General features: G+C 47.2%; 1 protein-coding gene across 3 annotated transcripts in view, besides 1 other annotated feature; it reads left to right on the top strand.

Annotated features, from left to right (window-relative positions):
• Positions 1-14,374, top strand: part of FBP1 (fructose-bisphosphatase 1) — a 37,131-nt gene that overhangs the window by 16,763 nt on the left and 5,994 nt on the right. For all 3 annotated transcript variants that reach the window (XM_006717005.5, NM_001127628.2, NM_000507.4), the window contains 3 exons: positions 3,010-3,172; positions 5,641-5,733; positions 13,440-13,580. In XM_006717005.5, coding sequence (XP_006717068.1) covers positions 3,086-3,172; positions 5,641-5,733; positions 13,440-13,580 — 321 coding nt within the window. In that variant the 5' untranslated portion in view covers positions 3,010-3,085. The remainder of the gene's footprint in view (positions 1-3,009; positions 3,173-5,640; positions 5,734-13,439; positions 13,581-14,374) is intronic.
• Positions 13,027-13,526: an enhancer, noted in NCBI's record as "H3K4me1 hESC enhancer chr9:97372257-97372756 (GRCh37/hg19 assembly coordinates)". NCBI's record gives its function as "activates a minimal SCP1, AML or CMV promoter by ChIP-STARR-seq in primed H9 embryonic stem cells {active_cell/tissue: H9 hESC(primed)}" and the evidence as "EXISTENCE:reporter gene assay evidence [ECO:0000049][PMID:30033119]".

The raw sequence follows: 14,374 nt of genomic DNA, 5'->3' as shown, positions 1-14,374 counted from the left end.
GCTAGGCCTTTTGTGTATGTCATCTCATGCAATCCTCTGACAGCCGCGTGGGGGCAGACTTCACTTCCCTCTTTGGACACATGTGAAAGGGAGGGAGGCTCAGAAAGAGCAGGGGAGCCTGGGAGCTGAGGCCTGGACCTGGTCTCTGCCTTGAAGCCCTTCTTCTGGTCCATCGGTGCTATTTGCCCTCCGGAATCAGAAGTGAGTTTGACAGTGGGCTGGGCACGGTGGCTCATGCCTGTAATCCCAGCACTTTGGGAGGCTGAGGTGGGTGGATCACTTGAGGTCAGGAGTTCGAGACCAGCCTGGCCAACATGGTGAAACCCTGTCTGTACTAAAAATACAAAAATTAGCTGGATGTGGTGGCATACGGCTATAGTCCCAGCTACTCAGGAGGGTGAGGCACGAGAATCGCTTGAACCTGGGAGGCGGAGGTTGCAGTGAGCCGAGATCACGCAACTGCACACCAGCCTGGACAACAGAGTGACACTGTCTCCAAAAATAAAAATAAAAATAAAAATAAAAATAATCATAAAGTGACTTTGACAGTGCAACTCTCAGGCTGGAAAGGAGAGAGCACTGCTGCTAGTGGGGTCACTGAGGGAGCTGCATTTGAGCTGGTGGGCCCTGCCAAGTCCCTCTGGCCTCCCAGATTTTGGCTGCCTTCTTCCTGCACAAGCCCCAGCCTCACAATTGGGGTCAGAAAAAGATCATGTGGAAATAGGATCGAAAGCCCAGGGACATGGGGTGGAGCTCAAAGCTCGATAGACATCTTGGTCTTTTACTCATGAAATAGGAGTGATGGGTGAAAAGAGAAGCAGCAGGAGGAGGGCTGGTGGGATGAGATGTGCTTTGCAGGCTGGAAAGGGAATGATGCCAAGAGTGGCTGAAAGACGCTGACAGGCGGGCCCGAGAAGACAGCCGGAGCTAGCTCCTGAGATAGTCAGGCCGGACCAGGCATGTGGGTTTGGATGGTTTCTAGGAGGGGCTCAGTTTTGCCCAGCCAGTCACAGCGAGTTATGTTTTGGGCAAATGCACTTGCAGGAGCTGAAGCAGTCACGGCCACTGGATCAGGGACCGTCAGTTCCCAGGCGAGCGCACATCGCCATCATGGCCAAGGGCGCGGGTGTGCCCTTACCACCCACTTTCAGAGGCTTGCTGGTGTCTTCAAAGACCCATCTTTTCCCCTTCCCACATCAAGGCTCTCGCCTTGCTCTGTGCATCCTTCCTGTGAGACGTCTCCCTCCTTTCTGTGTTCAGGGCAACCCCAGGCTATGACAACCTGCCGCTTCTGTAAGTCTAAGAAGCTAGGCTGCGTTTAGACAAGCCACTGGATTCTGGGAATTCTATAATTACTGACTTGCAGGTTGCTTAAAAATAGTGAAAACTCCAGGATCCCTGCAACTTCCATGCCCTAGGACTCCTGCCAGGGGCCCAGGGTGTCACCAAGAGAGCCCTGGCCTGGGAGTCATAGGCAGGGTCTCGCCTCCACCCTCTGCCTGGGAGTCATAGGCAGCGTCTCACTTCTACCCTCTGCCTGTGTGGAGAAGTCCACAGGAGTCTTGGGTCTGAGTTTTCTCCTCTATGAAATGAGGCAGAGGGGCCGGTTGATGCTTTGTTTCTTTTAGGGTCTTTTTAGTTATAAAGCCATAAACCCCTTGGCTTGGCTCGCAACTCAGGCTACCCCCGACCCAGGCTTCCTTGCTTGCTGGGTCTCTCTATTGATTCGTTTAACCCGTGTGTTTGGGGGCCAACACTGGTTCTTTCTGGGCAAAACCAAAAACACCCGCAAACTTTTTATGTAAAAAGCACTGAGACACATACTGCAATAAACAGATATCTACTATATCTGTAGTATTAAAAATATTTCATGGGGGAGTATGGTTGAGGAAAAAATGTTCTAAAAAGCTCCCTAGGGGAATCATAATGAAAACAAAGTTAAGAAACACTGATTTAACCACAAAAGTGTGCAGGGCACCATGACAGGTTCGAGGTGAAGAGGCAGATGATAGTATCTCCTCCTCTCTAGGGTCTGTCCAGACCTTCCTGCCTTGTTCTCCCAAGCTGATGTCCTCCTTCCTTTCTTCTAAAAATATATATATTTTTAGACGGAATCTTGCTCTGTCGCCCAGGCTGGAGTGCAGTGGTGCGATCTCGGCTCACTGCAAGCTCCACCTCCCGGGTTCACGCCATTCTCCTGCCTCAGCATCCTGAATAGCTGGGACTACAGGCGCCCGCCACCACACCCGGCTAATTTTTTGTATTTTTTTTTTTTTTTTTTTTTTTTGAGACGGAGTCTCGCTCTGTCGCCCAGGCTGGCATGCAGTGGCACGATCTCGGCTCACTGCAAGCTCCGCCTCCTGGGTTCACGCCATTCTCCTGCCTCAGCCTCCCAAGTAGCTGGGACTACAGGCACCCACCACCACACCCGGCTACTTTTTTGTATTTTTTAATAGAGACGGGGTTTCACCATGTTAGCCAGGATGGTCTCGATCCCCTGACCTCATGATCCACCCGCCTCAGCCTCCCAAAGTGCTGGGATTACAGGCGTGAGCCACCACGCCCGGCCCTTTTTTAAAAAAATTATTATTATACTTTAAGTTCTGGGATACACATGCAGAATGCGTAGGTTTGTTACATAGGTATAAACATGCCATGGTGGTTTGCTGCACCCATCAATCTGTCATCTACATTAGGTATTTCTCCTAATGCTCTCCCTCCCCTAGTCCCCAGCTCCCTGAGAGGCCCCAGTGTGTGATGTTCCCCTCCCTGTGTCTATGTGTTCTCATTGTTCAACTCCCATTTATGAGTGAGAACATGTGGTGTTTGGTTTTCTGTTCCTGTATTAGTTTGCTGAGAATGATGGATTCCAGCTTCATCCATGTCCCTGCAAAGGACATGAACTCTTTCTTCTAAATCTTACCGAACACTCACTTTTGGTGGGTTTATGGACTCATCTACATGTTCTGGTGGTCATGGCTTATTTTTTGTGGCTTTTGTTCCCTGTAGCTATGGCATTGCTGGTTCTACCAACGTGACAGGTGATCAAGTTAAGAAGCTGGACGTCCTCTCCAACGACCTGGTTATGAACATGTTAAAGTCATCCTTTGCCACGTGTGTTCTCGTGTCAGAAGAAGATAAACACGCCATCATAGTGGAACCGGAGAAAAGGGTGGGTCTGTACTTCCACCATTGAGGGTTTTAATGTAGCCGGTCTTCTTCCCAGCTTCATAATTGACTCCACTTGTTCAGCTGAGCTGGGTTTCTGGGAGTCCCTCTAGATCCCTGCTGTGGTCTTTTCATAGCTTCCACCTCACTGCTGCCATCTCTCGAATCCTCCCTGAGCCACTGTGCAGATGAGTGTTGTGGCTCACGCCGCCTTCTCCCCAGTGGACTCCCACAAACTCATCTCCATTTCTAACTTTTTATTGCCATGTTTAAGGCTCTTCAAACCCTGGCTTCTGTTGGTCACCTCTTGTACTACATCCCTATCCACCAAATTCCTGACCTTCACACTGACCCTCCTGTTGACCTAGACTGCTTGAAACTTCCATCCCTGATGCACGCATTGGAGTCCCTATTGGTCTGTCTCTGCTTCTTTTTTTTTTTTTTTTTTTTTTTTTTTTGAGACAGTGTTTTGCTCTTGTTGCCCAGTCTGGTGTACAGTGGTGTGATCTTGGCTCACTGCAACCTCCGCCTCCTGGGTTCAAGCGATTCTCCTGCCTCAGCCTCCTGAGTAGCTGGGATTACAGGTTCCCGCCACCACACCTGGCTAATTTTTGTATTTTTAGTGGAGATGAGGTTTCACCATGTTGGCCAGGCTGGCCTTGAACTCCTGACCTCAAGTGACCCGCCCACCTTGGCCTCCCAAAGTGCTGGGATTACAGGTGTGAGCCACCACACCTGGCGTTATCTCTGCTTTTTGAGAGCAGAAAATGAATCTTATTTGTCTCTGTGTCCCAGTGTCTAGTGCAATGCCTGGCACATTGGAGGGCCTCAACAACAAATGACTGTTGAAAAAGATTGTTAAATGAAAGAGTATTCCCAGCTTTTATAAAACAACAATTGTAATTAGAAAAAAAAACTTCTGAGATTAGAAGTGCAGTTATATGGGCTTACTATCTTTCCCAGTTTGAGAGGAACTGGGAACATGAAGGAGTAGAATTAGGAAAAAACAATGAGAAGATGAAGAGGCTGCCTGTCCTCACCCTATTAAGAGGGCAGGAGCCACATCTGATGAAGTTGTTTTTCATCATTCCTAAAATAGCCGTACATGCCAGACTTGAAGTTCATGTTTTTCTCAGCTGGGCCTTTCAAGGTCTTTGGCAGCTTTAGGCGTATGGCTTAGATTTGTTGTTTAATATTCTCCATCACTCACGCCGGACTTCTCTTGTCTATCATGGGCCTTCATGATAGGCAGCTTCCTGTGTTCCAGTTTCCAGTTCCTCCTGCATTAGTGAGGGTGGTCTGTGAAGAGCAAGAGGGCAGGGAATCATGTTAATCTGCTACAGACATTTAAAAACGACATTGTAAAGTGGCTAATTTGGAGATGGAAAACTCCCAGTGATGTGCTGGTAAACTGGGTCTCAAAGCAAACAAACAAGTCTCTGATATGTCCACTTGCCTCTGTCAATGGTGTGAATACTCTCCCATCGTTGATTTTAAGCTACCAATGTGATATCACTGAAGGCAGAGTTGGGAAGAGATGTGCACCGTTAGCTCCTGAGAGCCGATACCAGCCAGCTCCTGCACACCACTGAAAATCCCACTCAAAACAGGAATCTGCGGTATTCCCACTACCACTGAAAGTTATCTACTTTGGGAATTACGCTAGAAATTTGTTTTGTTTAGTTTTGTTTTTAGAGACAGGGCCTCATTCTGTCACCCAGACTGGAGTGCACAGTCATGGCTCACTGCAGCCTCGAACTCCTGGCTCAAGTGATACCTCCTGTCTCAGCCTCCTGAGTAGCTGGGACTACAGATGTGCAGCATCATGCCCAGCTAATTGAATTTTTTTTTTTTTTTTTTTTTTTTTTTTTTTTTTTACAGAAGGAGTCTCTCTATGCTGCCCAGGCTGGTCTCAAACTCCTGGGCTCAAGCAATCCTCCTGTCTTAGCCTCCCAAAGTGCTAGGATTAGGCATGAGCCACCGTGCCCAGCCAGGATATTTTTGAAAACTCTATGCACCCCAACCTCAAGGGGCATCTGTAAGACCTCCATGAGAAGTTTCTTATAGATCTCAACCCTAGCAAAGTCTCTGCTTCACCTAAGGAATTATTTTTTTCCTTACAAATAAAGGAAAATGAGTGACTAACCTTCTTTTTCCTTTGGCTGCCAGGAAACTCAATGCAAAATTATGATTTGATTATATCAACAATATAGGAAATCATGACTTATCTGTATTCCATTACCTTCATCTGCACCTCTTAAGTGGTATTTTCTCTGTTTAATGGTCTTGTGTGTATGTGTGTGTATCTGTGCATTCTGTATGCCATCTCATGCCTTCCATGACAGTACAAATAAATAAGACCCACATTTTTTGAACTTTCTTCTAAATTCCCATTCTTAGCCCCTAATGTATACTCCTTTAGTGTATCTTGCTATAACATTTTAAGGTTGTATTTCTTTTTTCTGTGCTCAGGGTAAATATGTGGTCTGTTTTGATCCCCTTGATGGATCTTCCAACATCGATTGCCTTGTGTCCGTTGGAACCATTTTTGGCATCTATAGAAAGGTAAAACGTGATATCTTAAGCACTTGGTTTGGGGACAGAAGTTAAGATTGAGCATCCAGTCCTATTTCACTGTGGCAGAGCAGCCGGAGTGGAGATCATGAAACTGTGAGACTGAAGTAGATTTGTATCTCAAGTTCTGAGCTTTTCAGCACTAATTGCATGACGAAGACCCACTAGATTGTTGAAAGAGAATATAGGGTAAAATATGGGTGGGAAGAGAAGGATATTTCACTCTTTTTACTATGTCTTACTTTTTATGATAGAAAATGAGATTTAAAAAAGAGGCAGTAGAGGGTAAGTATAGTGATGATACGATGTGAACTCAGAGTTGAGAGTGTAAGACAACAATAGAGACTATGTCAAAACTGTCCTTTAAGTCCCCTAGTCAATGGTCTATAAGCTATGAGCCCCGGGCTGAGTCCAGCCTGTGGCCTAATGTGTACAGCCTGTGAACAAAGAATAACCATTTTTACATTTTTAAATAGTTGAAAAAAACTAAAGAACAAAGTTTCGTGATCCATTTTAAGTTTTACTCTTCACGAATGAAGCTTTAATTGGCATTTGGTCACATTCATTTTTTCACATACTGCCTTTGGCTGATTCTCTGCTGCACTGTCAAAGTTTTGTAGTTATGATAGAGACTGTATGGCCCATAAAACTGAAAAATTTACTATCTGTCTGTCTGTAGAAACAGTTTACTGAGCTTTGCTCTAAGTCGTAGAAAGCACACAGCATAGGATGAGAATCCAGCCCTGCTCGGGTCTCCTAACACCTGACTCGGGCAGTCACCCCTCCTCCAGAGCTGCTTTTTCTGAGAGAGAGAGAGAGAGAGAAAGAGAGAGAGAGAGAGGAGAGAGAGGAGAGGGAGGAGGAGGAGGAGAGGGAGGAGAGGGAGAGGGAGAGGTGCTCAATTATACGAATAAGTGAAAAATAGAATGAAAACCCATCCACCCATCAGGAAACATGATAAAATCCAAGGTACATCCTCTTAGCTTTAGCTCTTGTTTTGTTTTATTTTTTCAAAGTATATATTTTAGGCCGGATGCGGTGGCTCACGCCTGTAATCCCAGCACTTTGGGAGGCCGAGGTGGGTGGATCACAAGGTCAGGAGATTGAGACTGCCTTGGCTAACACTGTGAAACCCCGTCTCTACTAAAAATACAAAAAAACAGCCAGGCATGGTGGTGGGCGCCTGTAGTCCCGGGAGGCTGAGGCAGGAGAATCGCTTGAACCTGGGAGGTGGAGGTTGCAGTGAGCCGAGATCACACCACTGCACTCCAGCCTGGGCAACAGAACAAGACTCCGTCTCAAAAAAAAAAGTATATATATATATAGTTTTAACAGCTTTGGGGGGTACAAATAGTTTTTGGTGACATGAATGAATTGTATAGTGGTGAAGTCTGAGATTTTAGTTTATACCTCACGAGAATAGTATATATTGTATCCAATATGCAGTTTTTTTATCCCTCATCCCCTCCCATCACCCCCTTCTAAGTCTCCAAAGTCTACCATACCATTCTATATTCAGCTCTTGTTTATTTCAGAACTGAAACCTCACAGGCTGGAATCGACTGAAGAGGTTGGTTCAGCTGAACTCTGTTCTAGGACACAAAGGCATTAACTTAAGAACTGAGACCCTTGGCCTAGCGAGATGGCTCACGCCTGTAATCCCAGCACTTTGGGAGGCCGAGGTGGGCGGATCATGAGGTCAGGAGATTGAGACCATCCTGGCTAACACGGTGAAACCCCGTCTCTACTAAAAATTACAAAAAATTAACTGGGCATGGTGGCGGGCGCCTGTAGTCCCAGGTACTCAGGAGGCTGAGGCAGGAGAATGGCATGAACCTGGGAGGTGGAGGTTGCAGTGAGCCAAGATCGCGCTACTGGACTCCAGTCCGGGTGACAGAGCTAGACTCCGTCTCAAAAAAAAAAAAAAAGAACTGAGACCCAAATTTGCACTTTATCTCTAAAAGTGACTTATTGTCTAGTATTATACATAATTTCCTTTCAAATATGTGAAAAGTAGAGCCCCCATGGCACAGTTATCTTTGGTCATTGGAACGTATTTTGCTTTTTATCTTGGGTAAGAGGCAGATCCACATCACAATCAGTTTGAGGAATAGAAGATTCAAATTCTCATACTAGAAAGGCAAAAAGGCAACAATTTATCCATTTTCCAAGTCATGCCAAGGAACATACCATTTCTGTTGTAGACATGGAAGAATGCAATTTTCCTTGCAAAATATCAAATCCACAGAATAGCAGGAGAGGTTTGTAGCAAAATTCTTCCTTGCAGAGGAAGACATCTGGCTAATGTGTTAACCACAACTAAAGCAGTGTTGATGTTTACTAAGCCCATTCTCCATCTCAGTCCCCCCAAATAATACTTTTTAAGGAAAAAAAACCTGGGAAATTGAGAGACATTGGCTATCAACTAAAAAAAAAAAATCAAGCCAGCTTGCAACAGCAGCTTGAATTATGAATGACAGAATTCTCAACAATAAGGCTCGGCTGTCTTCTCAATGAACCAGAAGTGACTTTTTTAAAAGACAGAAAGTGGGGCCTGGTGCGGTGGCTCACCCCGGTAATCCCAGCACTTTGGGAGGCCCAGGCGGGCGGATCACGAGGTCAGGAGATTGCGACCATCCTGGCTAACACGGTGAAACCCCATCTCCACCAAAAATACAAAAAATCAGCCGGGTGTGGTGGCAGGCCCCTGTAGTCCCAGCTACCTGGGAGGCTGAGGCAGGAGAATGGTGTGAACCTGGGAGGCGGAGCTTGCAGTGAGCCGAGATCGCACCACTGCACTCCAGCCTGGGTGACAGAGCAAGACTCTGTCTCAAAAAATAAATAAATAAATTAATTAATTAATAAAAAGAAAGTGATGATGAGTATGACACAGACCTCTAAGTCATTTCAGTTTTTTGAAGCCTTATTGATTGCTTGAAACAGCTGAAACCAGTTGAGGGCTCATGAGGCATAAACATAGACATCTATAATGCTTCCAAGGGGATTTTTCCTGCTTTCTGCAGAGATGATTGTTGGCTAGAATCGCACCATGGTGCCCACGCCCAGTGGGGCAGCATCAGTAACTGTGACCCTGCCATGGTGACCAGGCCTTGCTACACGATTCCTGGAAAGGCACGTGGAAGGATGTGTGGTCATGTTGCATGCAGCTCCTGCCACAGCATCTTTCCAGGGCCTACCGACTACTACTATTTCTTTTTTGAGACAGAGTCTCTCTCTGTCGCCCAGGCTGGAGTGCAGTGGCGCCATCTCAGCTCCCTGCGACCTCTGCCTCCCTGGTTCAAGCGATTTTCCTGCCTCAGCCTCCTGAGTAGCTGGGACTACAGGCGCCCACCACCACGCTTGGCTAATTTTTTGTATTTTTAGTAGAGACGGGGTTTCATTGTTTTAGCCAGGATGGTCTCGATCTCCTGACCTCGTGATCCGCCCACCTCGGCCTCCCAAAGTGCTGGAATTACAGGCGTGAGCCACCGCGCCCGGCCACGACTACTACTATTCTTTCTCTTTCTTCTCCCTGTCCCTCCCCCTTCTCCCTCCCTCCTCCTCCCCCTGCTCCTCCTCGTCCCCCCCTTCCTCCTCTGCCTTCTTCCCCTCCTCCTTCTCCCTCCTCTTCTTCTTCCTTTTCTTCCTTCTTCCTTTTTCTTTCTTTTTTTCTTTTTTTGAGATGGAGTCTCCTGTGTCGCCCAGGCTGGAGTGCAGTAGCACGATCTCGGCTCACTGCAAGCCCTGCCTCCCGGGTTCACGCCATTCTCCTGCCTCAGCCTCCCGAGTAGCTGGGACTACAGGCGCCCGCCACCACGCTTGGCTAATTTTTTTTGTATTTTTAGTAGAGACGGGGTTTCACCGTGTGTTAGCCAGGATGGTGGCAATCTCCTGACCTCGTGATCCGCCCGCCTCGGCCTCCCAAAGTGCTAGGATTACAGGCGTGAGCCACTGCGTCCGGCCTTTTTTTTTTCTTCTTTTTTTTCTTTTTTTTGAGACAAGGTCTCACTCTGTCGCCCAGGCTGAGAGCAGTGGCGCCATCATGGCTCACTGCAGCCTCACCCTCCCGGGTTTAAGCCATCCTCCTACCTCAGCCTCCTGAGTGGCTGGGACTACAGGTGCACCACCACACCTGGCTAATTTTTGTATTGTCTGTAGAGACAAGGGGGTCTCGCTATGTTTCCCAGGCTGGTGTTGAACTCCTGGGCTGAGGCGATCCTCCCGCCTCGACCTCCCAAAGTGTTGGGATTACGGGCATGAGCCACGGTGCCTGGCCCCACCAGTGTCTGGCTGGAGACATCCTGACAGGGCGAATTCTCCTGCAATGCTGGGTAACCATCATGGTTTGTCCAAATATTGAGTTGAAATCTGTTTCATTTTGCTCACTTGGCTGTTTAGAGCATAAGAAAATAAGATTCTTTGACATGTTTGGAAACAGTGTTTCTGCCCTCCCAATAATGCCCACCACACCCACTTTTTTTCCCTTTAAGCTGAACATCTTTCACAGGAGAGGGATCTGAGACTTCTCTCTAGCCTGATCACCCTCTACTGGACATACTCTAACTTGCAATGTCCTTTACAGCTCCCACCACAAAAGCAGAGATTCAGAAAAGTAGGGTTTGGTTTCTGCTCCGAGGAAAGACCACTGTGGACGTGACAGTCTCTCCTCCCCCAGGCCCTCCGTTTCTGTGCCTACTTCTCCTTATGTGATGACATGGAATAATATGTGATGACATGGAGCCAGTGCCTACAGCAGGTGGTGGCCTCAGATAGGCAGAGAAAGGAAGGGTCCAGAGGTTTCTGATTTTGCCAAGTGCTCCGTGCTCATTGGTCCCTGGGCATCTGCAGGAGAATGGAATATGTTTCCCTTGGAGGAAAGGCATGCATTGCTGAGCATTTGGAGGAAGGAATTAGAAAGGGGGCTGATCCCAGCTCTTTGGGAGGCTGAGGCAGGCGGATCACCTGAGGTCCAGAGTTCGAGACCATCTTGGCCAACATGGTGAAACCCCATCTCTACTAAAAATAAAAAAAAAAATTAGCCAGGCGTGGTGGTGGGCGCCTGTAATCCCAGCTACTTGGGAGGCTGAGGCAGGAGAATCACTTGAACCCAAGAGGTGGAGGTTGTAGTGAGCCAAGATTGTGCCACTGCACTCCAGCCTGGCGATAGAGCAAGACTCTGTCTCCAAAAAAAAAAAAAAAAAAAAAAAAATTGGGGGCTGGGCTAGAAAAGAATTCCTCCAAATCCATGGCTCAGTGGGATAATTTTCTCTTCGTTTTGAGTATGTGGGTCATAGACAAGTATTACTATTATTTTTTATTCCGTGCGAGGAAGTGTATAAATGTAGAGCATTTGGTGACCGTATGTCAGGGAAGGGCTGTTTACTTTTGCACCTTTGCCACAGGCCGGCACGGATGGTTCTGGGCGAGGTGAATCTCTGGGAAAAGGGGCCTTTATTGGCAGAGAACTGGTTACTTGAAGCCTGCAGTGGGAGGAGAGGAGAGTTAGAGTCCTGAGTCCACCCACTGTGTACCTGGCTTCAAGGGAAGCTGGTGATTGTTAAAATGAGCCTCTGACAGGCAGCGCATGTTGACAAAGGCCATTAATTTCATTTTTCAAGGTTGTGCATTGGCAAAACTTGGAATTATTCCCTCAAAGTTTTGATCCTGTAAGTTTAGTCTGTGTTTAGCTCCACTGTACTGTCTGGTGAATACAAACCAAACTGAATCAAATAACCCAGTGCAACCAGCTAACTAACCACCTCCCCAGGTGAAAACTAGGAGGGGCAGGGAAGCGGTGGAAAGAAATGGGTTTGTGGTTTTCTGGTTTGTGGTTTTCTCATTTATATGAGTAGTTGTTATGCTTGAATGTGAAGTTCTTACACTTGAGTGTGAAGGTCACCCCTTCACATTGCATAGTGCAATGCAGATTCTCAGGCCCCGCCATGGAAAGTCTGACAGTGTGTCTAGGCTGTAGCCCCAGAATATGCATTTCTTTTCTTTTTCTTAAAGAGGCAGGTTCTCATTCTGTCACCCAGGCATGTGCAGTGGAATGATAATGGCTCACTGCAGCCTCGACCTCCCAGGTTCAAGTGATCCTCCAGCCTCAGCCTCCTTAGTAGCCACAGGCACATGCCACCATGCCTGGCTAATTAAAAAAAAATTTTTTTTCGTAGAGATGGGGTCTCCCAGTGTTGCACAAACTGGTCTCAAACTCCTTGCCTCAAATGATCCTCCTACCTTAGCCTCCCAAAGTGCTGGGATTATAGGGATGAGTCATGACCCCGGCTGTGAATGTGCATTTTTAATAAATATCCCAGGTGATTCTAATGCAGGTGCTCTGTGGGCCACCCTTTTGAAAGTTATGGGAAGAAATTACCTGGAATGTTTTGCTGGGATGACTTCCTTCTCCAGCTGCGTGATACAGATGCCCCTGCTTACGCTCAGCTGCAGGAATCTAGGAAAAGAATAAGTGAAGTTCGAGAAATTGCATATTTTTATTTCTGCTTAATTCAAGCAGAGAGTAGTTAAGCTGAAAGATTTGTTTGGGGCTGTCTTGATGACCAAAGAGGTCAATCCAGTGTTAATAAAGAAGATCAGGCTGGGCGCAGTGGCTCACGCCTGTAATCCCAGCACTTTGGGAGGCCGAGGCAGGTGGATCACGAGGTCAGGAAATAGAGACCATCCTGGCTAACACGGTGAAACCCCCTCTCTACTAAAAATACAAAAAATTAACTGGGTGTGGTGGCAGGCGCCTGTACTCCCAGCTACTTGGGAGGCTGAGGCAGGAGAATGGTGTGAACCCGCGAGGCGGAGCTTGCAGTGAGCCGAGATAGCACCACTGCACTCCAGCCTGGGCGACAGAGCGAGACTCCGTGTCAAAAAAAAAAAAAAAGAAGAAAATCATTAATAGTAAGAAATCAGTGGTTAGGAGCTGTCTCCTTAAGGGGCTCCCTTCCCTAGTGTTAGAAAAACTCTGGACCACATGACCCAGTGGGCTGTGTTTTTAATGAAAAAATGGATTACGGCACATGCCACGTTCTAAGTGTAGGTATTATTTTGGTAACTTTTTGGTGTGTGTGTGGGGGCACTGGTTTGTGATGTAAAATGTGCTTCTTCCCATGCATCACGGTTAAAACACTGGACAGCATCTGCTCTACCCCATAATGACTCTGGGGAGATATTCTGAGTTCCTACGTTTCTGAGAATTTCCCTGACGTGTGAGTGATATAGACCACATGCTCAGCAGAGTATGGGCTGCAGCGGCAAGAGCTCACAAAACTGATTTCCTCCGCAGACTGGCTGCCCTGCAGCCCAGTGTTAATTTATTTAAATAAAGATGGAGTAGGCAGGTGACAGAGATGGATGCCCGTAATAAGATTAAATTAGTGGGAACTGGCAAGAAGGCATGCTCTTTTTTGGAACTGATAGTGGAGAGATGAGGGAATATCACATTAGAAAAATTGGAGGAGGGCCCTAATTGGAAAGAGGAATCCAGATGCAGGAAATCTGGGTTCTGGTGGGAAGGCTGCCGTGATAATCTAATCAGGATATTGCTGATGTGTAGGGGAAGGCCCCTCTGGGAAGATGCCCTATTTCATTAGAAGAGCACCTTGAGAATGCCTCCTGTTAATGGTTGAACTGTAAAAAAGAATCACAAAACAAAACAAAAACATTCTTTGATTTCTTTCTTGCTCTAGAAATCAACTGATGAGCCTTCTGAGAAGGATGCTCTGCAACCAGGCCGGAACCTGGTGGCAGCCGGCTACGCACTGTATGGCAGTGCCACCATGCTGGTCCTTGCCATGGACTGTGGGGTCAACTGCTTCATGCTGGACCCGGTGAGAGACCTCACAGGAGGCTGGGGGCTTGGCTGGTGTCTGTGAGCAAATGAATGATATGTGTGGGGGATTGGCAGGGGTATGTGGAGGTGGGAGGTGATGCCCATGGAGGGACAGAGATGATGATGTGTGGTGGAAAGGGGGCAGGAGACCAAGAGAGAGTGTATGCCTCCCGAGCAGACTATGGAGGTGAGAAATGCCATCTCAGACTGGCACAAGAGGGGGTCTTTGTTCCAATGTGAATTCCTCAGAGCAGCTGTTACTCAAATGACCCAAATGCCAGGTCCAGGCAGGCCATAGGGATGATGAAGTGTGCTGGGGAAGGAAGGCCGGGGGGCAAGGGTGGAACTGGGGTGAACTGAAGAGTTCCAGCAATTACAATTGGGAGGAGGGGGCCCGCCTTGCCAAGGCTTCTATTAATGGTTCAAGAAACACTGGATTGTAAAAAACATAATGTTTCTGCATGTGTGCAACACTATGTTGGCCAACTAAAATGCATTTATGGACCTGATGGGGCTGTAGATATTCTGTTTGCCATAAACTGTATCCATCCATTTCTAGCTTTTCTACTTTAGTCACCAAAAGGCTGTTTTCCTGAGACGAATGGGTGTGCCAACTGAAGCAGTGGACGACATTGCTTCTTCAAAAATAGCTCCCACATTTATTCGTGTACATTTACACAAACCTTCAGTTAACTGGTGCAGTCTTTCTTTCTTTTTTTTTTTTTTTTCTGAGATGTAGTCTTGCCCTGTCTCCCAGGCTGGAGTGCAGTGGCGTGATCTCGGCTCACTGCA

Source organism: Homo sapiens, chromosome 9 (genome assembly GCF_000001405.40).
Source record: "Homo sapiens chromosome 9, GRCh38.p14 Primary Assembly".
Classification (NCBI taxonomy): domain Eukaryota; kingdom Metazoa; phylum Chordata; class Mammalia; order Primates; family Hominidae; genus Homo; species Homo sapiens.
The sequence above is the reverse complement of the archived record's forward strand: the minus strand, read 5'-3'. Positions and strand labels throughout refer to the sequence as shown.